The 24,879-nt window shown below is 34.2% G+C and overlaps 1 protein-coding gene across 2 annotated transcripts in view; it reads left to right on the forward strand.

Annotated features, from left to right (window-relative positions):
• The window catches only part of COMMD10 (COMM domain containing 10), a 208,263-nt gene extending 185,177 nt beyond the window's left edge, over positions 1–23,086 (forward strand). For both annotated transcript variants that reach the window (NM_016144.4, NM_001308080.2), the window contains exons 6-7: positions 21,316–21,375; positions 22,250–23,086. In NM_016144.4, the coding sequence (NP_057228.1) occupies positions 21,316–21,375; positions 22,250–22,288 (99 nt within the window). In that variant the 3' untranslated portion in view covers positions 22,289–23,086. The remainder of the gene's footprint in view (positions 1–21,315; positions 21,376–22,249) is intronic.
• The last annotated feature ends 1,793 nt before the right edge of the window (positions 23,087–24,879 follow it).

Genomic DNA, 24,879 nt, shown 5'->3' on the forward strand with positions numbered 1-24,879 from the left:
GGATGCTTTATTTAGGCTTTTCGAAAGCAAAAAAAGTTTATACATTGTTACAGCTGGGTGTTGGGTTACAGGCTGTTTGTTATATTCATGTATTAGTTCCTGTTATTTTAACATTTTAAATATTTCATAATTGAAAAAGGAAAAATTAGACTGGGACCAGTTTATAGAAAGCTTTAACTTCTAGGCAAAAAAGGTAGAACTTTACAGTTGGTTGTGGAGAAGATATTGACTGTCTTTTGTAGAGAGTAGCATTTCGAAAAACTGAATTTGGCGTCTGTATTTAGAACGGTCTAGAGAATGGAGATACTGATGAAAAGGAATGTTAGCAAATTCAGCATTCTGATTTCTGAAAAATGAGTGCTTAGATTAGGTAGTGGCATGGGGACTAGAAAGAACAGGGATGCTGCTGCTTTGTATAATCATTCCCATTATATAAAGGTTATATATAAATTAGGACGGACACGGTGGCTCACACCTGTAATCCCAGCACTTTGGGAGGCCGAGGTGGATGGATCAGCTGAGGTCAGGAGCTCACGACCAGCCTGACGAACATGGTGAAACCCCATCTCTACTGAATACAGAAGAATTAGTTGGGCTTGATGGTGCATACCTGTAATCCGAACACTACTTGGGAGGCTGAGACAGGAAAATAACTTGTACCTGGGAGGTGGAGGTTGCAGTCAGCCGAGATCACACCATTACACTCCAGCATGGGCAACGAGCAAAACTCTGTCTCAAAAAATAATAATAAAGATTATATATAAATAAATAAAATCACACCATTTAACAATCTCAGTATAACTTGGTTCATAAATTGGGGCAGGAAATCACAGGTTTGGTGGGTGGCCCAAAATTTCTCCAAGTGGATTAGCTTTCCCCTTAAAGGCTTGGGAGAAAATCTTTCCTCTAGAAATATATGATCATAAAACACTATTTCAGTACTTTGAAATAAAGTGTATATTAAAGAGTACTCTCTGTACAGGTTTTGTTTATGTCAGTTTTTAATAAACATAAACATGGGGAAAATTCACATGATAGTAAAAACAATTTTTTTTCCTGTTTAAGCATTTTTATCTTTTTAAATTTTTATATATTTAATATATAAAATATATATAAAATATAAATATATATTTATATTTATGATTATATAAAATTCCTATATCTTTATATTATCATTTCCATAACCATTTTAGTAAGCATCCCCAAATAGAAGTTAGGGTGTATTACTAATTCTGCTTAATATACTTTGTATACTTTTGTTTCCTATCTCAAATCTAGTTTCTATTATGTAAGTATAAGTACCCTCCATGAATTGGGTTAACATTCTAAACCATGACCAGACTGAGAGCATGACGACTAATGTGGTTTTTACTCCTAAGCTACCAGTATGGAAGATCAACATTTAAGAAGGCATTAGTCATCTGTGCTGCTGAAAATAATGGTTTCACATTAGTCTGGACCAATTAGAAGGAGCCTATGTCTACTTGGAAGAGTTTGATTTGCAGCATAGTCCTTGGCTGCTTCTACAAGACTTGGCAAACTTTTGTTTAAGTCAGACCCTGCTTAAATGTCTAAAAGGAAACTCTTAGGCCATTATTTCCCCCTACTTTACATAATATTGCTCCATACAAACATTCCACTTTTACAAAATCATTTACTTTTTCCCAACTCTGTGATACAAATGAGTTATCTTTTCGTAACCACCAACCTCTCAGTTTTATATTTGTTAGCTCAGATCTGACATGAAAGTAAAAATTACTTATAACCACTTTGGGATTACACAAATTTAACCTGTTCCCATGTTGTATTCAGTCCTCTGTGAAATACGAGGGTACTTCAAAAAGGTCAAGGAAAAATTGAATTAAAATATAAAAATAAAAGATGCAAATTTTATTTCTCAACATAGGCTCCATTAAGGTCGAGACACTTTTCTAAGCGATAATACCAGCCATTTAGTCCATCCCTCATTTCTTTTGGAATTGAGGAATTTAGCCATGTCAGTGCAGTCTTTTTGTACCTTACTAACTGAAAAAAATGGGTATTCTTTATAGATATTTTTAAGATCAGGAAATAAAAAGTCAGAGGAGGCAAATCAGGTTTGTAAGGGGGATGCTTAATGGCTTCCTATTGAAACTCTTGTAAAATTGCTCTGTGTGATTAGAGGAATGAGCAGGAGCTTTGTCGTAGTGGAGGAGGACTCTAGTGAAGCTTTCTTAGGTGTTTTTCTGCCAAAGTTTTGGCTAATGCTCTCAAAACACTTTCATAATAAGCAGATGTTATCATTCTTTGGCCTCCCAGAAAGTCAGTAGGCAAAATGACTTGAACATCCCAGAACACTGTTGCCATAGCCTTTGCTCGTGACTGGACCACTTTCATCTCTTGGTAGCCATTGTTCTGACTGTGCTTTGTCTTCAGGATCATACTGGTAATGCCATATTACATATCCTGTTACCATTCTTGGAAGAAATGCTTCGGAATCTTTATCCCACTCATTTAAATTTTCATTGAAAGCTCTGTTCTTGTCTGCAGTTGATCTGGGTGTTGTAAGAGTTTTGGCATCCATCTAGTGGACAGTTTGCTGAACTTATTTCTCAATCACAATCGTGTAAGCTGAACCAATTGAGATGTCTGTGGTGTTGGCTCTGGTTTCTGCTCTTAATTTCGGTTCTCTTAGGGCATGAACAAGATTATTTTTTTCCTCTCAAATGGATGTGGATGGTCTGTCACTGTGGGCTTCATCTTCAATGTTGTCTCGTCCCTTCTTAAAACAAGTTATCCATTTGGAAACTGCTCATTTCTTTTGGGCATTGTCTCCATCAAGTCTTTATAAAACATCAATGATTTCACCACATTTCACCCACAATTCATCTTAAATGTGATGCTTGTTCTTGCTTCACTTTTAGAAGAATTCAGTTTGCTCTGATAGGGGCTATTTTTAAATGAATGTCCTATCCTTCTTAGTGCCTCAAACTAGATCCTGTTCAGACATACTGTAAAAAGTTAGTATATTTTGGTGCAAAAGAATTTTGAAATCCATGCATAGTTTTTTCATAATATGCATTTTTCATGAGCTTTTTGAAGAACCCTCCTTGTAATGTATCTTAATTCCCTATTCCATTAAATCTATGATTTTGAACCAGCCATATGTGACCTGTAATCAAAAAGTGATGTTTGATAGATGCTGTCACCATTCTGTCATTTTTCCTCATCCAAGATAGAAGATGTCTTCGAAAGCTTTGTATATGTTCCAGTCCTATAAAACAATTCTACAAAACAATTTCAAGTTCAAAATTATTATTGAGAACTTTTAAACAGGATATTTAGAAGTTTGTTTTATTAACTTGGCCTAGGTCACAAAACTCATTAATATTAATGACTAGACTACAGAGGCATGTAGCCTGTCTAAACATTAACAGATACAAAACATTAAACCAAATTGTGAAGCTTCGTTATGCTATGAGTCATTTCAGGCAAAGACCAATATAGCAAGCAAAAGCTGAACAGTCCAGTTGAAATGTTTCTGATCTAAGCCTTTGACTTCTGTTTGTAGATGAACTGGAGTTTTGAAACTGACACTCAAATTTTTTATTGACTTCATATGAATAAATGATTCATTAAAATATAATACTTGGAACTAAAGTCATCATTCAAAAAAGGCATTTATTATTAATAAACTACAGAAAAGAGAAAATTTGAGGGTACAATTTACTTTTTTTAAAGTATCTTAAAATTGCATTTATTTTCTCTTAGAGAACTTTAGATGATATCAGTCATTACTAATGTCATAAAATGTATGTAAATATGAGCTAAGTGATGTATTTTATTTACCCAAAGATATGATCTAACAGCCTCTGCAACTGTCACCAACCTTTCCTATAAAACAGCAATATATTAAATGATAGTGAAGAGGGTCTGAAATTTCAACCTTGAGATGCACTTACACTGTATTCAGTACAGCAGATTTATACTTCTACTTATATATCAACAACAGGTCTTTCTAACTGGCAAGTCTTGTGGTAAACATGAGAAATATGGATGCTTATTAGGTCACTTTTGGTAAATAGAACTAATAATTTGAGACATTTGTCTACAATAGAGTTTGGCAAACTTTCTTCTGTAAAACACCAAATAGTAAATTCTTTAAATTTGCAGACTATACAGCTCTGCTGTTACAACACAAAAGTAGGCTTAGACACTATATAAAAGAATGAGTGTGGCTGTGTTCCAATAAACCTTTATTTACAAAAACTGAAAGTAGGTCAGATTTTTCCCAAAAGCTGACAGCAGGTCACACTTGGCCTGCGGACTATCAATCCCTGAGCTACATTTGCTTGATTTTCTTACTGTATACTCATTCCTCTGTTCAGCTGGGCTTGGCTTTTCCCCATCACTGCACCAAAATACTTTTGCCAATATCAGTAACATTCTCATCATTGAATTAAAATGAACACTTACCAGTCCTTGTCTCATTTGGATTCTTGGGAGCAGTTGACATTCTAATCAATCTGTCCTTAAAATTTTTTCTTTCTTTAGTGTCCCTGACCTACCTCTAGTTTTTAACCCACCTCTCAAGGCAGTCTCTTAATTATTGGTGTGCCTTAAGGATTTATTATTGATCTTCTTGACACATTTGCCTTAAGCAGTACTTTGTGTTACTATAGCTCTAATTTCTGTCTGTTTTTCTCCCTCCTGAGCACTCTTAAGTATTAATCTGTAGCCCAGATTCCTAATTTAAATACTGAGTTTGTACATCTAATGGCCTGCTGGTATTTTCTACATGCTTATCCAAAGATACTTGGAAATACCTGTCTTAAACTGAACTTGAAATTCCCAACCTCTATTTCATCCCCAAGATTACTTCCCTCAACCCCCATTCTATCTCAATGAATGGCCCTACCCATCTTTCACTTGCCCAAGGCAGATACTTGTGCTTCATCTTTGATTCCTAACTCTTCATCTCACCCATGTCTTTCATTGAAAGAATCAGTTTTGTGGATGTACCTCCAAAATAGCTCTTAAATCTGTATGTGTTATAGTCTGTTGCTTCTATGCTAGTTCAAGCCACCATCATCACAAATTTAAATTACTAGTAGACTGCTCTGCTTTTCCCTTTCATGTTCTCTTTTGCTGGTGGGAATATCCCCCATCCTGCTTTATTCCCAATAATTTATCTTTCAGGTATCAGATTAGATATCAGTTCTACTAGGAATCCTTTATTGACTCCAGAATGTAGGTGTAGTGTTTGTTCTCTGTGCCCTATACTTTGCCTGTTAGGGCAAAGTATGTCATTTTGTAACCTCAGTTTATTTGTCTCTATTGGACTCGTAAGCTCAAGGAAAACAAAGATTGTACACATTGTCTTCATCATTGCTGTAACCCCAACACCCTAGCGTGTTGCTCGTAAATCTATGTTGAAAACAAGTGAAATTAGTCTCAATATCCATAAAATACACCATGTTCTGTATAAATCAAAGCACCAGAACATATCTGATGGCTTAATTTGCACTCAAAGTAAGTATATAATTAGAAAGTTGAATAAATTAATGAAATAAAGATGTCATACTTCACAAAGTTGTATGTAGAACATCAGATCCTAAATCATAAGGCATAAACTGCTAATGGCCAGATTTGCTTCACCATATGTTAATGAGCGTACAAGTAATCACTGTGCTTATAAGTAATATAAGTATCCCCTATTCTTATTTAATCCTGGCTCCTTTTAGAGGGAAAGTAAAGAAATAAACTGAAAAAAAAATGTATATATATATATATGGTACTACCCTTGACCTTAAGGAACACACTATGTTTTGGAAGCCTTCATTGTAAAATGATCGTAAGTACTAACACAGGTATTCTTACTGTGCTGTACAGCACCAAAGCAAGCAGCAGGTGGATAGGAGGGGGAGAGGAAATCAGGCGAGGTTTTGCAGAGGAGGTAACACTTCAGAAGAGTCTTAAAGTATCAGTAAGACATTGCCAGAAAGAAAAATAAAAATTAATTTCAAATAAAATATATATAAGCATGTGAAGCATGATTGAGAAATATCTTCTTTTTTTTCTTCTTTTTTGAGATGGACTTCTGCTTTTGTCACCCAGGCTGTAGTGCAATGGCACTATCTCAACTTACTGTAACCTCCACCTCCCAGGTTCAAGCAATTCTCCTGCCCCAGCCTCCCAAGTAGTTGGGATTACACCTGGCTAATTTTTGTATTTTTAGTAGAGACAGGGTTTTACCATTTTGCCAGGTTGGTCTCAAATTCCTGACCTCAGGTGATCCACCCACCTCAGCCTCCCAGAGTGCTGAGATTACAGGCATGAGCCACCATGCCCAGCCGTATCTTCTTAATTGTCAAAGGAAAATCAAAGTGTGTTAGTAGCATTATCATATATTATGTTTTTGTGTCATACATGATTTTTTTATTCTAAATTTTAAAATCTAACCTTAATTCAGTTATTTAAATTAAGATACAAGCCTTGCTAAACAGAATTTTTACTGATACATGCTACAACATGGATACATCTCAAAAATATTATATTAAATGAATGAAACTGGTCACAAAAGACCACATATATGATCCCATTTAAAATTGATAGGATTTCCAGAGTAAGCAAATCTGTTAGAACAAAGTAGATTGCTGGTTACCTAGGACCGGGAGAGGAGGGAGCAGGGGGTAAGACAGGAGAGTTGGTGGATAATAACTAAAGGACATAGGGTATCTTTTTGGGATGATGAAAATGTTCTAAAATTAATTGTGGTGATAGTTGCACAACTGTATGAACATTCTAAAAACCATTGAATTATGCACTTTAAGTGGGTGAACTGTGTGGGACATGAATATTTCCATAAAGCTGTTACCAAAAAATATAAGTTAAATTCTCCAGTGTTGTTATTTTCACTAAGTTATGAAAAAAACCCATGTTCCATCCTTTATTTAGGTATCATTGTACAAACTGAACTATCAGCTGTTGCTGCATTGAATTCACAGTAGTACACAATAGACATATTTCAAACATAAAATAAAACCTTATTAGCTCCAGATATACTAAGGATTATAGAAATATATCAACTCATTTAAACCATGTACTTTTTAGAATATGCATCATTTGTTCACTTGATTCCAAGAAGATTTTGTGAATCATAATCAGGTAATTAGGTTAGCAGAGAACTAATGTGCATGGAAAAATGAACTCCAGTTTTTATCAGTCATATTTAGTTGGAAGAGCCTCATTAGAGGTTAAAATTTTCTTCTGGATAGTTACTGCCTTAAATTAACCACATATCTTATCAAATTAGTTATTGTACCTGCCTGTCTTTAGGAATTTGGTTCCACAAGTGTTGGAGGTAAAATAGCATGTTTCCTATTATTATGCTGCAGTTTACAATGGATTTTCAGTTGCCTGTTGTATGATAAACTCACTGCCCTTCATAACTTGAGGTAAATGCTGAACTTGCCCTTTTTAATTTGTTGAAACAGAGCTTCCATTCACTGATAAGAAGTGTAAATTTAACTAAATTGTCAAATTAACCTCATTTAGGTGCACACATTGGTTCTCTTTTCCTTGAAGACTTACGTGACAGCACAAGATAGAGAAAAATTAAGCCTGCACATGTTTTCAGTTACCTTTTTCTTACTCTGTGAATTACATTAGGTTATTTCATTCAGGATGCCAAATACATAGTAGCTCCTGAAAGTACAAATGCATCATTTAAATTTCTGTCTATGAATCTAATGCAGTCATTTTATAAAGAAAAGAGAAACCTAAATTTGAATGTTGAGATCATAATCTTTAAAACTACACACTAGAAACAATAGAATTTCAATTTATTGTTTAAAATTTACCCAGAATCCCTCAGCCAAGATAGTAACACATGTCTTGAGAAGTTAAATAATGTACCTATTACAAATGATGTTTCAGTCATCAGATATGTACTTATCCTTAGAATAAATTATAAATACTTAGAAAAATATACCATTACCTATAGTATTGAGTACAGAAAAAGCTCCATTGTTTTTAGCTGTCAATGCTCTTTTCAACCTAGTTTCTCACTGTTAAAAAAGCTTCAAATAATCATATTCAAAACCTCTTAACTTGCTGATTATATTCAGCAACCATAGCTAAATATTTCAGTACCAAAGCTGAAAAATCATAATGGCATATCAGCACACACATAATAAATTATGGTTAATGAATACTATACAAGGTGTGTTTTGATTGGCTCCAAGTTTGTGATCTGCTCATGGATAGCACATTGTATTTTTAAGAGGAAGGAAAATATAGTGATGATATGACTGCCAAGCATATTGCTTTACACTGAAGCAAAGTGGTATTTTAGCCAAACTCAAAATGTAACATATAGACAACAAGTCAAGTGACCTAATAGCCAAAATGAATATATCTAATTAAACATTTCATGAAAATATTTCATGCGCTCTCTTATACGATTTTTATACTGAATAAAGGTTTCTGGTCAAAGACAGTTTGTTATGTTGACAGCTAAAACTGTTGTATGTTTTAGCTAAACATGTATAAAACACAAAAGCATTTGCCTTAACCAGCTTGAGGTGGGGACCTTCAAGTGTGAGGTGCTACCTTTTTAAGCTAACTACAGAATAAATACTTAGAGTGTAATTACTATTTAGCCCATATATTTTCTGAGTAAACAAGACTTATAAGACCTGTAAGACTACTACCATTGGGGTCAAATACTACAATATAATTAGAAAATATTGAAATCATTTAGACAAAATCCACTTATTCTGATATTTTCCATATCCAATATTTTTTTCCTTCAGGGGAAAAATGACTTGATGTCAACTGAACTATACTAAAAGATCTAGCTAAATGAAATCACTGGTGTATGCATGTATGCCCTAGGATGTGCATGCATGCAATTGGAAGCACTGTTGGGAGAACACAAGAGACAACATGAAAAAAGACCCAGAGAGAAGTATGTAAAACCCTACTGGTACTTCCGTACTGCCTGGACATGCAGTGCATTAAGAGGATATTGAGAGATGAGTCCGTAGGAATCATGGGCCAGAGTTTGGAAGTCTTGAATGCTATGCTAACAAGTTTAGAGTTTTTGCTGCTTACATTCTTAAATAGGTAATCATTTTGTTAAACTGTACTTTTCAAAAATTAAAAGTTATTCGATTGATTTAACACTGGGAAAATGCCTTTTGTTGTGTATTCCATGTATTTGTTGCAGTTGTCCTTTTGTAACTTTTATCAAACTTTGATGTAAGCTCAGGAGTTTCCGTTTGCCCAGTGCCCTTCTTAAAGAATGGGGACATTCCTGTGAGGTTTTGGAAACTGCTGGACTGCATAATATTTTAATGAAGTCTTTGGAATCACAGGGCTTGAGGTAGCAACAGAGATCAGCTGAAATTCAGGTGAAAATGATAATTATGTAGTATATTCACTGGACTAACTTTTTTTATTTGTTTCATATTAGAATTTTAACCTGAATGAAACCTAGCTTTTTAACTTGGCAATGGTATTGCATTGATGTTTGTAAAATGCTCACAGTGGCTGTGAAAATTTTGTTGGTCTAATTGGTGTAACAGATACAAAGAGATTTGATTACATTTTTTCAGACCATTTTTGAGAAATTGAAGACTTTAACCTTGCATTACCTCTTATTATTAAGACAGTGTGACACCCCATCCGCTATATTTATCAAAATACCCTCAGCAAAGCTTTTAAATATTTCTGTATAGAATGAGTTACTGAATGGAAGTAATTGTGCAAACTGATTAGGACATAGGTTCTATGTATTATCTTGATATACAGGTGAAAGTGCTATAGCGATCTGAAGTTACCACAGTAATGCAATGGCAAGAACAATGACATGTTTCACTTTTATGTATTTTATGAGTTATTTCACCGTTATGGGCGCCATTTTCCTCATCTATTAAATAAGAGGATTGGGCAAGGATACTGCTGAAGTGTTTTGTTACTGACATTTCGTGGTTCTACCTACTTCCATTCACTAGTTTAACTTGCATACATAGGTGTACTTTTCAACATTCTTGAATCATAGAATTGGAAAGAATCTTGGGTAGCCAGGCTGCCTCACAGAAAAGTAGAAATTTATTCATTCACTCTGCCTAGGATGCTTTGCTTGCACTTTCTCAGGCTGGTGCCCTTTGAGCCAGAGCTGGTTGTGACATCAATTATTATCCCTTTGGTTGCCAAGATTGATTTCATGGTTTGGAGAGATGGGAAGAGAATCCTATTCTCCCTCGTTGCCCCACGTACAGTTCTTCCCAAATTTGGGAGCTTAGTTATAAAAGGCAACCTGCAGACATAAAGAAGGATCTTTCTTTGGTTAAACGTCTATTCCTTGCCATGGTACATTCATCTTTGTATCATGAGCACTTTTCTCGGGCAGCACATGTTACTCTTAAATGTTTACTGAATGACTGAATATAGTGGATGACAAAAATGACTAACAGTTGTAAATGTAAGTAGAGTTTCATGGTTTATTTAGCCTATGGTGGAGCTGAAATTATATCTCTAGGTTTTTGAACAATGATGCTTAGTAAAGATTGTCAACAAATAATAATAGAGATATTGGAATATGTTTACAATCATCTATAATTATATTGTTATAGAGAATATATCTGTAGACATATTTAATAAATGGTGCCTAATGAGTTTTGTTTTATAAACTCATTCAGTAAGACTTGAAATATTATTTACATTTTATCTCTGCCTTTTATTTCTGTAACTAAGAAGAAAACTTCCTCTTTAAGTACCTACCAAAGTATTTTTACATTCAACTTGGACAAGAGTTTAGTACTATTTCTTTTACTGAAATATTCTATCTCCTGATTTTCTAGTTGAAAAGATAATTGCATCATTTCTAATTCTGATATCCAATTTAAGGTTTAAAGCTAAGCAATGTAAATTTGGTTTAATTCTTACCTAGTTTATATCTGTATTATTTAGAGGATATTTCTGCTTGGGTAATTTGTGAAGAGGTTAATGCATTTCTGTCTTGAAAAATGTATATGTGTTCCTAATTCCTAACTAATGGGAAAACAGAGGGTATTTTTAGTGTCAGCTTTCATCAAGTCAGACCTTTCTGAAGACCTTACTGAATTCTATTTCCATGGGAATTTTGCTAATGGGTATGTGCAACATTATCTAGGTACTCATAGATAGGATTACAAATTAAAAATAAAAAGGAATGGGTGGTGAACAAACACATCTTTCTTTTCTTTTAAGAAATTGACAGAATATTAATCTTTGCACTTTCATTTTCACTTTCGTTTCACTTTGCATTGTTTTTAGATTAGGTGCAGAAAGTCCAAGTTTGGTACTAATGCATGAGATCAGCATAGACAATATAAGTAATGCATTTATTAAGGAAGTTCTTAGTTGTAATCTTATATGTACAAGCAGAAGAGAGAAAGTCTTCCAGTTTCTCTATATTTAGTTAACAATATTAGTGACTTCAATGTGTTTTACAGGAAAATGGAAAATTTAAAAATAAGCCATCCAGTTGTATTGCCTGTATACTCGTTTACTGATTTATTTTGATTCATGTAATGCATGTGCACTGTACATGTCAAAATACTGTGCAGAAAACGTTAATGAAGCTGGTGATATTCAACATTTATTGAACACCTGCATACCCTGGATATTGGAATTTCCTTATGGCTCAGCCTCAGGCTACCTCTGTTTTCATACTACTACTTTTTTTTGGTCCCATGTGATCTGGGAAAATACCTTCTTTTCCTGGGCAATTTCATGTACTTTCATGGTTTTAAATATCATCAATATATCAGTGACTCCCAAATTCTCTTTTCTGGCTCTCCAGACATATATTGTCAAGGAAATCTTGCAGATATATCAAGCTAATTGTGTCTGAAACTGTACTTTGGATCCTGCCCTTCTTCAGATCTGCAGCTCTTAAGAATTTCTAATCTCACTCAGTTCCATCCCTCCAGCTTCTGCCAGAAACCTGAGAGTCATTTTTGACTCGTTTTATTTTTTCACTACCCTTCATCCCAATTCAAGTCTGTCATCAAGTGCTGTCTCATCTACCTCTAAACATTACCTCAGAATTTTTCACTTTTCTCTGTCATTGCTGCCATCACATTTGATCAAGCCACTGTGTCTTGCCTGGACTAATGTAGTTTGGAGAAACTCCAAACTGGTTTCTCCATATACAGTTCAGCCAGTTCTAATTCATTTCCAAATAAAAGCCAAAGTAAGTTCTTAAATATGTAAACATAATTATATCACTCTTATATCTAAAACTCTATAATGCTTTTACATTGCTCTTATGATAAAGATCTCTTTTATCTATCCCAGAAGAGGTGTTTGGTCTTAAATTAGCTTCCTAGGGCGACCATAACAAAGTAACACAAACGAGGTAGCTTAAACAACAGAAAATTATTTTATCACAATTCTGTAGGCTAGAAGACTAAAATCAATTTGGTTTCTTCTAAAGCATCTCTCCTTGGCTTGTAAATGGTTGTCTTTCTCTGGTGTCTTTGCATGGTCTTCCTTTTGTATTATCTGTATCCTTGTCTCTTATTAGGGATACCATTCATTTGGATTAGGGGCCACCCTCATTGACTACATTTTACCTTAATTACCTCCAAGCTCTGTCTCCAAACAAAGTCACCTCCTGTGGTACTAGGCGTTAGGACTTCAACTTAAAAATTTTGAGAACACAGAATTCAGACCATAACAGAGCCTAAACTCATAGTTGATAGACGAGGAATAAACATGTACACATAGGAGCAGAGACTTCTGGTGGGTTTTGTGGGAACTAAGCAAGTTAGATTAGAGAAGATTCTGTAGAACCAAGAATGGAAGACTAAGAAAAATGTTATCCTGCTTTATTCTCCCTTAAGCAGGTATCATTTGCAGTAGCCTCCAAAACATCTTACATATAAATGCTTTTATCTCAAGAGGAATCATGCAATACTGCAGATGACTCAGTAAAAATCCATCACCTCTCCTACAAAAACAACCATTCTACCTACAACAAAAACGATGACAGCAATAAAACAAAAACTCTACCTTATTTACTGACTTCATCTTTATGTTTTAAAACTTATTCATTTGTATGGAAGGGTGTGTATGTATATCAATATCTTGGCCTATCTAGCTATCACAAAATAACAACTTTTTTTTTTTTTAAGACAGTGTCTTGCTCTGTCACCCAGGCTGGAGTGCAGAGGCACAGTCTTGGCTCACTGCAACCTCCACCTCCCGGGTTCAAGCGATTCTCCTGCCTCATCCTCCTGAGCAGCTGGAATTACAGGCACCCACCACCACGCCCAGCTAATTTTTGTATTTTTAGTAGAGACAGGGTTTCACCATGTTGTCCAGGCTGGTCTCGAACTCCTGACCTCAGGTGATCTGCCTGCCTTGGCTTCCCAAAGTGCTGGTATTACAGGCTTAAGCCTCAAAATAAGACCTGTTATTTTGAGGCCTGGCCTCAAAATAACAACTTTTTAACCAAATCTGATCAATGTTTCGTATTAGTCTTACTGCATAATGGCAGTATCCATTGATACTGCTGTTAAACAACCAATAAAAAATCCTTCCAGAAATAATTTATATTACATATCCAGTTATTATATTCCTTTGAAAGAATTCCTGTTACAATTATCAGCAAAGGCCAGGTACAGTGGCTCATGCCTGTAATCCCAACACTTTGGGAGGCTAAGGTGGGAGGATCACTTGAGCTCAGGGGTTTGAAACCAGCTTGGGCAATATAGTGAGACCCTGTCTCTACAAACAATAAAAATAACTTACTGGGTGTGGAAGCGCACTTCTAATCCCAGCTACTCACAGGCTGAGGCAGGAGGTTCGTTTACACCCAGGAGTTAGTTCGAGGCTGCAGTGAGCTGTGATTATACCATTGCACTCCAGCCTGGGCAACAGAGCAAGACCCCATCTCAAAAATAAACAAACAAAAAAGAATGATCAGCAAATTTAATTTCTTTAAAATCTTTTAACCTAAAATCCAATTTTGCATTATATGAAAATATCCTTGTATCTGGTTTCTGGAAGAATGGAGATGTAATGTCATTAACTTTTATGCTAAAGACAGCTATTTTTAAAAACTACGCACAGTATCATCTAAAGGATTGTATGTGTGTGTGTATGTATGTGTGTGTGTGTGTATATATATGTATTTAGATAGATATACTTTGGTTTAATTCAAGATAGTTTTGGCTTATGGATGACAAGATGTGGATGTGTTTTCATAACTCACAGCTGTCGTTTATGCCATAAGGGTAATTCTCTTCTTATTCAGTATGACATAATATGCTACATTTTATTATCCAGACTATCTTTCTGACTCTGAGGAAAAAAATAGGTCCAAATAGTCAAATTCCATTATCTAATGACAGTGGTAGGCAGGAAGCACATGGATAATTATATATACATTGTCAGATTCAGCCTATGAAACTACTTTAACCAGGAGTTTCTACATTTTCCACCATGAAGTCTGTTGTTAGAGTTGCTACTGATAACTAAGATGACAGGTCTGAATTTCATTTTATTTTCTCTTTTTCTTCCCTTAACAAAGATACTAATGAACTATGAGTTGACTCATAGGCCAGAAGTATATAAAATTAAGGACGAAATATGTAGAGCCTAGACAATCCAAAGAGAAGCACCTTTAATACTAGTAATTGAACTTTCATTGAACTTAATGCATTTCATATATCTTTGTTGGGTGGGGGCTGCAACTGGTTTGTGTTCAAACTGAAGATAAATTGTTTGAAAATCCACTTAATTGATGGATAAAACCTTCTGTACATTTTATGACAGGTAAAAAATGAAGTTAGTTGATTCTGGTTTTATAAGCAAACTTGTGACTTCCTAGTTATAGTCCTAAGGAAAGCTGAATGTGTTTTCCTCCTAAAAATGCAATGACTCCAGGGTAGCTTTTGATCAAACCCACTCCTAATATTTGTAAGACCTGAAACAAGAGTAAAAATGGAGACCCATATCATACATGTAAATGTAAAAGTCATTTAAAAAGCTACCGAACTCTTAAATGTGCTCTATACTCCTTACTTGATAAGATAACTTCTTGATATCTTGGAAAGACAGATTTAAATTTAAAATTTTTGGACTCCTTGGGATTCTATGTCAGAACATGATAATGTGGGGAGTTGGCCCTTGGCCTGCCACCCTTTCCTTTTTATCCTGCACATCTAAGCTCCATTCTTACTTCCCCACAAAACAACTGCCCTGGGCCACCCCTTGGAAGACTATGGAGTATATGCTGTCTACAAATAGACATGAAACACTTACCACTGCTGTATTCCCCATGGTCTTCTCTAAGTCATTATGGATTGAAAGAGAAATGGCAATGATTATGACAGACATAAGTCAGATGCTTTTCTGTATCAATTTAGATGATTATGTGTCTTTCCACCTTTATTCTGTTAATGCAGTGTAATACACTAATCAATTTTCATATGCTGAACCATGCTTGCATTGTAGAAATAAATACTACTTGTATAATGATATGTAGTATACCATGGTGTATAAACCCTTTAATGTGCTCTTGACTTTAGTTTGCTAGTGTTTTGTTGAGGATTTTTGCGTCAATACTTACGGATATTGGTCTGTAGTTTTCTTGTAGTGTCTTTGTCTGACTTTGGAACCAGGATAATACTGGCCTCATTAGAATAAGCTTGGAAGTATCTCCTCTTGTTCAAGTTTTTGGAAGAGTTTCAGGACAATGGATGTTAATTCTTTAAATGTTTTGTAGAATTGTCCAGTGAAGCCATCTGGTCCTGGGCATTTCTTTGTTGAGGAGTTTTTAACTACTGATTCAATCTCTGTATTCATTATTGATCTGTTCATATTTTCTATTTATTCATGATTTAGTCTTAGTAGGTTGTTTCTAGGAATTTATCCATCTTGTCTTAGGTTATTCAACTTGTTAGCAAACAGTTGTTCATAGTGGTCTTTTATAACACTTTTTTATTTCTATGGCATCTGTTATAATGTCCTCTCTTTCATTTTTAATGTTAGTTATTTGGGTCTTCCTTCTTTTTTTCTTAATTAGTCTAGCTAAGGATTTGTCAATTTTATTGATCTTTTTAAAAAACTAACTCAATTTCTATGAATTTTTATATTGTTTTTTGATTTTTCTATGTCATTTATCTCTGTTGTAATCTATATTATTTTCTTCTTCCTGCTTACTTTGACCTTAGGGTTTTTTTTTTTTCCTAGTTCCTTGGATGTAAAGTTAGGTTGTTAAGTTGAGATATATATGTATTTTACATTATACACTTAACAGCTATAAACTTAACCCTTTAACACTAGTTTCACTCCATCCCAAAATTTTGGCATGTTGTGTTTTCACTTTCATTTGTCTTAAGATATTTCCCAGTTCCAGTTCCCCTTATTACTTATTTGGCCCATTGATTGTATGAGAATGTGTTTAATTTCCACGTATTTGTAGATTTCCCAGTTTTCCTTGTGCTACTGGTTTGTAGTTTTATTCCATTGTAATCAGAAAAGATACTTTGTATGATTTCAGTCTTCTGGAATTTAAGATTTGTTTTGTGGCCCAATGCATGGTCTTATCCCAGAGAATGTTCCATGGGTACTCAACAATACATGTTCTGCTATTTTTGATTAGAGTGTTCCGTATATGTCTGTTAGGTCTAATTGGTCTATAAGGTTATTCAAATCTTGTTTCCTTGTTGATTTTCTGAATAATTCTGTTCATTGTTGAAAGTGGAATATTGAAGTCTCCTACTATTATTGTGTTGTTGTCAAATTTCTTCAATCCTGCCAAAGTTTGTTCCATATATTTAGATTCATGTAAATACAGTAAGTCCTCATATAACATTGTGATAGGTTCTTGGAAATTGCATCTTTAAGCAAAACAATGTACAGCAGGCTTTTAAATAATGTCATTTTGTTCAGTGTCCTTTTATCATAATGTTGAGGGAAAAAATGGCTTTGTTGTTTGTACTTTTTCTTAAAGCTGCAGTTTTCAAAAAACTGTGACAACATTGAGAACTTACTGTATTTATGCACCAAAGCTATGAGGTTTGGTGCATAAATATTTATAATTGTTTTATTTTCCTGGTAAATTGACCCTTTTGTCATTATATAATGTCTTTCTTTGTGTCTTGTAATGGTTTTTTATTTAAAGTATATTTTGTCTGACTTTAATGTAGCCACTTCTGCTCTCTTTTGTTACCATTTACACGGGATATCTTTTTCCATCCTTTCACTTTCAGCCTATGTGTATTGTTAGATCTAAAGTATGTCTCTTGTAAACAGGGTATAGTTGGATTCTGTTATTTTATCCAGTTAACCAGCCTGTATCTTTTGATTGGGGAGTTTAATCTGTTTACATTTAAAATAATTACCGATAGGCAAGGACTTATTGCCGTTTTGTTAGTTGCTGTCTATGTCTTGTTCCTTTCCTCTCTCATTGCCTTTCTTTGTGTTTCATTGATTTTTTTTTCTAGTGGTATGCTTTCATTCCCTTCTCACTTCCTTTTGTGTGTATTCTACAGATATTTTCTTTGTGGTTACCATTGTAAATCCATAAAACATCTCAAAGTTATAGTATTCTATTTCAAACTGATAACAACCTAACTCTAATCACATATGAAAACTTTCTCCTTTACTGCTCCACTTCTCCATTTGTTACTGATGTTACAAATTACATTTCTATATATTACATGTACATTAATATAGATTTATGGGTTTTGTTTTGTTTTGGGGTTTTTTCATTTAAATTTCACATACTAAATTTACAGTATTACGTATTACTATATTTTTCCATGTATTTACCTTTATTGAGAACCTTATATTTTTATACAGCTTTGTGTTTTTGCCTGCTGTCCTTTCATTTCAACTTAAAGAACTTCCTTTAGCATTTTGTATAGATTAGCTCTAGGTGATGAACTCCCATGGCTTTTCTTTATCTGGGAAAATGTTAATTTCTTCTTCACTTTTGAAGAACTGTTTTGCCAGATGCAGTATTCCTGATTAATAGTTTTTTTGTTTTTGTTTTTGTTTCCTTTCAGCACTTTGAGTATATCATCCTACTCCTTTCTGGCCTTCAAAGTTTCTGCTGAGAAATTTGCTGATAATATTATGGAAGCTCCCTCATATGTGATAAATCACTTTTCTCTTGCTGCTCTTAAGTTTCTGTCTTTGACTTTACACAGTTTGACTATAATGTTTCTTAGTATGGTTATCTTTGGATTTTCCTCGTTGGAGTTCTTTGAATTTCTTGATCTGTATGTACATTTCTGTCCACAGATTGGGGAAGTTTTCAGCCATTTTTTCTTCAGATAAGCTCTCTTATTTTTTTCTCTCTTACTTTCCCTTCTGGAATACCCATCATGCATATATGGACCTGGTTGATATTGTCCTAAATCCCTTATCATCTCTTCACATTTCTTCTTTCTTTTTTCTCCTCTGCTCAGTGATTTCAGATAACTTGTCTGCAAGTTCACTGATTCTTCATTCTGCCTAAAACTGTTGTTGAATACCTCTAATAAGTTTTTCCATTCCGTTACTGTATTTTTCAGCTCCAGGATTTCTGTTTGGTTCTTTTTTATAGTTTCTGTGTTTTTCTTGATGTTCTCGTTTTGTTCATGTATCATTTTCCTGATTGTTTTCAATTGTTGGTGTTCTCTCTCTTTTTTTTTTTTTTTTTTTTTTTTTTTGTGAGACAGTCTCACTTTACCACCCAGGCTGGAGTGCAGTGGCATAATCTTGGCTGACTGCAACCTCTGCCTCCTGGGTTCAAGTGATTCTCCTGCCTCAGCCTCCTGAGTAGCTGGGATTAAAGGTGCATGCCACCATGCCTGGCTAATTTTTGTATTTTTAGTAGAGATGGGGTTTCACCATGTTGGCCATGCTGGTCTCGAACTCCTGACCTCAGGTGATCCACCCACCTCAGCCTCCCAAAGTACTGGGATTACAGATTTGAGCTACCGCTCCCAGCCTTCTTTTAGCTCATTAAACATCCCTATAATAGTTATTTTAAATTCCCAGTCAGGTAGCTGATAGACCTTTGTTTCTTCAGGGTAAGTGTCCCGAGTTTTATTTTGTTCCTTTGATTAGGCCATATTTCCCTATTGCTTTGTATGCTTTGTGATTTTTGCTGGGCATTTTGAAAGACAACTACCTCCCCTAGTCTTTGCATACTGGCTTTGTGCAGGGGAAGACCTTCACTAATACCCCAGCTGGGAGTTCTAGGGCCTCTCAAATGTTTTCTGATATTTTGCTCCCTCTGGCACCTGCCCGTGGAACTGCAGCTCTAATATGCCTCTCACCTCTGTTTTCAGTGCCTTCCAAACGCTGGTGCTGGGCGTGTGAGTGCCCTTCTTTAATTAATACAGAAACCAGTTCCTTGGGAATCCCCCAGAAAGCCAGAATGTTGGATGTATGGTTCATTCTTTTATTTCTGTCCTGAGGGAGGAGCTCTGGCATGGGGGGTGGTGGGTTCTTCTTGGTTGCTCCGCTATTCCACATGGGAGAGAGGCATGCATGAATACACTGAACACTGTGAAATTCATTTCCTACCACTTTCATTGGAATTCCTTCTTGGTTTTATAATGGTGTGGGTGCTGTAGCATCTCAACTGGTCTCTCAAGTTCTCACAAGGGTATTCTGATCCGTATATTGTTAACTTGGTACCTTAGTGGTGGAAAGAGGGCCTCTAGCTTTCTAGTCTACCCCTATAGCTATTGTTCTTTTAAGAAGTATGTTTTCGAAGTTACATTTCTTCTCTTTCCTCAATGTAACATTTTAGGAAACACCACCTTAAAACAAAGCAAAGCAAAATATAGAAAACAAGAACCTGGCTTGACTGCCACCTTTAGGGGTACATCAGATCAGTTGTTTACGTGCTGATTCAGCCTTCATTCTCTCCTATCTTTTTGGATGGAGGTGAGAGTGATGAACTTGTCTTGCTTTTCTCAGAACTTTAGGGTAAACCTAGGCTTATCATCCTTCCTTAACTGCTAGGAGGGCATATACTATGTATAGATGATGCTGATTAAATCTTTGGAGCTTTAATGATGTGTGACAGCCAATGAATTTTTCTAATATAGTATAAAAACTTCATGATTTTATATCATTCTTAAAGGAAGAGGCTTTAAAGCAGATGTACTTCTTTTTTCATTTTAAAGCTTAAGTACTTAGATATATGAGAGAAAATGAAGAAGTATGGAAATTTGATCCTGTACACTTAGCTTCATGAAGAGTGAGATGCATTTTCTGAACATAGCCCCATTGACTCTTCTGGAATTAGTTGGAGATAATTTGGTTTGAAATGTCGGCTTTGTAAATAGAAATGGAAATCATTAAAACAGATAAAAGTGAACATAGAAACTGCGAACTAGAATAAACAGTATGTTGGAAATGACCATGTGGCTCAATTTTGCATCAGTTTTCTACTTCTTTAGTTCATGATGCCCATTTTATGTCATGTGATTACAGCAGTGTGATCAGAGCAGTTAGCATATTCTTGGCATTTTCTCCTCATTAACTTTCACTTCTTCAGAGGGACCTTGAGTAAAATAAACACATTTGAGCAGTCTTAAGCAAATTGTTTGAATTGTTTCCTCAGTATACAGAATCAACCAAAAGTAGGTTGGATTGAGTTGAGTTGGGTTTAGTTTAATATCATACTTTACTACAGCATCATACATACATATACAATATTACCTAGCATCTGTAGCACCCATAAAGGATTCTCTAATGCATGTGAAGTAAAAGGAAAGAGAGTGTTTAAGTCCTGACTTTGAAACTGTTGTGTTAATTGTGAACTTTTGCTGAGTCTATACATTGAAGAAGGTAACACTCAGCATGTTGAGATCACAACTGCTAGATTAGTGCTTGGAGGCAGTAGCTGTGCTGATGTGAGGCATTAATGGCTGGGTGAGTTCAATCAGATATCCTGCCTCCAGTGTCTTTGTGTAATGGTATTTACTAGATTTCAAACAGACTGCTGAGAAAGATGAAATATAATCTCATGTATTATCTCTGTCTTGAAAAAATTAGATAATAAAGTTGTTCTCTTACTGGCATATGTTTTATTAACCTTCGTAGAGTCAACTTAAAGGACAGATGTCTGTAGAATTGAAACCTTTTGCTAGAGTGTTATTAAGTGCATTTTTGAGTTCTAGGAATCATGGGGTTGAGTAGAGCAGGTAAGCATTTTTTAAAACCACTCAGAGGACAATCTTATGTCATATTCTGAGGTTAGCTGGAGAGAAAAAATGTGATGTAAATTGTGTGCAACTACATTCTTTTTGTTGTTTTTCTTCCTTACAGAGCCTGGAGAAAGTTCTTGTGGAATTCAGTCACAAGGAGTTGTTTGATTTCTATAACAAGGTCTGTATTTTTAAAATAATTTTCTAATATGTGGAGTTTTTTTCATAATATTTTGTTTCATTTTATGAATTCTTATTTTTAAATGTCATATTATGGAACTAAGTTCTTTAAACTTCCCTTATAAAAGACCTTATGTTTCACAGGAGGAAGTATAGCAGAAATGAAGAGAATTTGAAAAACTAAATCAGGAAGAAAAGGAAAATAGTTTTAATTAAAGCAATAGGATTGTTGCTTTAATATAAAACATTAAGTAATGAACTTTGTGATTCCTAGCCACACTGACACTTTAAATATATATAATGTCAAATACTTTAATTTCTGGGCCCAAGGGTAAAGGGAAACATGCCTTTAGAGATTTATCTGTGAGTATATTTCATGTCTCTTTCTGAAGACTGATTTTGTAATCCAGGAAAATATACTCCCTCCACCCCCCAACTTTAAAATATTATCAAGTAGGCAGTTCTTCTGCCAGTGTACTGCCACTGGAGCATGCGTGTGGTTATCCTGTTCAGCCCACCACCACTGTACCCACTCCCTCATATGTAAGCCTCCAATAAAACCCCATGTCTCATTAAAAAAAAAATTATGGAGTGATAATTTAAAAGGAAACAGCTGAAGACACTTAAAACAACAGTATTAAGAAATCTTCTTTCTTTGAAAATTTGAAAACTTAAATTTTCAAGCACAAATTCTAATATCTTCACCTAAAAAGAAAAATATTCTAAGTGGTAATTTTATTGCTATGTGAATGGATTTAATATTCATAGTTACCAGTGCTATTTTTTCCTTTCTATTTGCATGTGTCTGAATAACACTTGATATGAGTTTCGTTCCCTTCACTAACGTCTTTTTTTTTTTTTGTCTTTGTAAATAGCTAGAGACTATACAAGCACAGCTGGATTCCCTTACATGATGTTTTCGAAGACTGTTTTTTTCATCACGCTCCTGCCACCTCATTATTTTGCATTGAAGATACATTGCCAGGTTGTGTTTTCTGAAGGATTCAGTGACTTGCTTTCTGTAAATTATATGGCTTATCACTTCTTAGACAAATAACAACCAATAGAGATCATTGTTAAGAATACTGAGGTTCTAATATACTTTCTTTAGTTCTGTGAGCCAACAGTAATTATTAAGAACACTTTCCCTTTAAAGGAAACAAAAGTGAATACCATATTGTTTTTACTGTCATAGTGTTGCTTTCTTGCCTGTCCTGCTTAGTTTTTACTTGCTGGATGATACCATAATGTATCAAGGAGCGTCCATGGATACAAGATAAGATGTGTACCTTAGTAGAATACAGAGCTTTGGTAATTACATGAATAAAATTAAGAAAATAGCCATATACAATCAAATACACTATGGCATTTTTATTTGAATATGATGAGTATATTTTGCTTCGGAAATAATATAGGAAGGAAATGTAAAATAGTGAGTAGTATGGTATCAGTTAATTCCAGTCTGAGCTTCTCTGTCAACTTCAGTTTCTCTCTCAGTTTAATGATTTAATAATAGTCCAGGTTTTTGTGTGTTTTTCTTTATACTGCAAATTAATAATGATTCACTTTATAGTTTGGGAGACAGAATCAGGTCTTGAATAAAATAATTGTAATGAGTGCTAAATGGGCACCATTATTCGAATCAGATACCTTTTATATTCTCTTTCCATAAATACGTTGATTTCTGTCAATAAAATTTTTGTGTCTTAGGATTGGTTGAAGTGTACATTTTTTAATTATATACATTATAGTATATTTTATGCCATGAATGTATGTAAATGAATACATTTACGTACATTTGTTAAAATGTATGTAATGAATACATTTACATACATTTGTTTAAAAAAAACTTGAATTTTTTATGAATGAAATTTCTGTATTGTTTCCAAAAAGAGAGAGATTCAAACATGACTTGCTTCACATGAAGAAATTTGATTTCAGAAATGTCCTATATTTAAATAAGCAAAGCCATTGAAATTGAAGCACATTTCTTATTTGAAGCATCTGGGAAATACAACTGTTAAGTATCTCTCAAATATTCAGTATATGGAATTTATACCCACATTTGTTTGTATATCTATTTGTAAGCTGTTGCTTAGAAGAATTGAGAGTTTGGATTATTTCAGAATACAACTATTACAGTTTTCCATAGTTGATTGAAAGTTTTTAAACTCAAACTTTCATTGGTAGAATATCTGGAAGGCATGTTTGCAATATAATGTGGCTTGTAGGATCTCTCCTACTTTTTTACGCTCTGTTTTGCCAGTTCTCAAAAGTAAATACCTGAAGTCCTAGAGGTACTATAAACATTTTGGTAAACATTCTTTGAGACTTTTTCTCATGTACATGTAAATATACATCATCCCAAGTTAAATTTGATAGGCCTTCCTGACAGTAGCCATATAGATAAATAGAAGTTTTCGTTGGTTTAGTGGCAAAACTGAATTCTTAATGTAGGTATACAAGTTAAATATGATGGTTAGAAATGAAGTTTTCTGAAAGTAGTTCGTTGTATGCTCCCTAAAAGAATTAGCTTTATATTTATCTTAAGAATATCTCTAAACCTATGCAAAAATATGGCAAATAGTCTTCTTTCCATTAGTCTAGTTCAACAAAATCTGACTCAGAGACAGTAAAGAAAGGGCAAGTAGAAGATCTAATGCCAACTAAGAAGATAATTATTTCTGAAATATTTAGTTGAAGATAACTTTCTTTCTTAAGACATTACTGTTGTTATGATGCACAAGTCAAAGAACATGTGGCATTTCCAAAGAGTATTAAATGCATGTTACTTTTTTATAAAAATAAGATAAATGAGATTAATGGGGCTTGGAACTGCAATCTTGGTAAATAAAGTTACTGTATGTCTTTCACGAGTGTGTGACATGAGGATTGAATAGACAGAATTGCTTGTTAGAAAGAGGAACTAATTTTTGTATCTATTACAAATTATATTTGTAATTCTTCCCTAATTATAAATTATCATGATTATTTTTATTTGGGAAATACCAAAAAATCATAAATAACTAATCTAAACTTACAGAATCCTATCATCCAAAAATGGCCATTAATGACAGTTTGATAGATTTATTGCAGTTTTTTTGTATCCATTTATCTTTCTTGTTCATTTTTTCTTCTTTCCTAACAAATTGAAGTAATGCCATAAATTCTGTTTCATACTTTGCTTTATGTACCCTTACAGCATGAACATTTTTCATATCTTTATTGCCCAAACATAATTTTAATGTATATTAAATAGTTCATCATTTGAATGATCTATACTTTATATACTTTATATTTCTCAAAATAATTAAATTGTCCAAATTTTGGCACATTTAGATTATTCAAATTTTTGAACGTAGGGAACTCACTGATAAATATAATTATACATAAACCCTAGACCACATCTCTCGTGATATTATTAGTATAGATTCCTAGAAGTAGAGTTGCTATGTCAAAAGTATGAAGATTTATTTTCTATTTTCATCTTTAATCGGATTTTCAT

This window comes from Homo sapiens, chromosome 5 (assembly GCF_000001405.40).
Source record: "Homo sapiens chromosome 5, GRCh38.p14 Primary Assembly".
Lineage (NCBI taxonomy): Eukaryota > Metazoa > Chordata > Mammalia > Primates > Hominidae > Homo > Homo sapiens.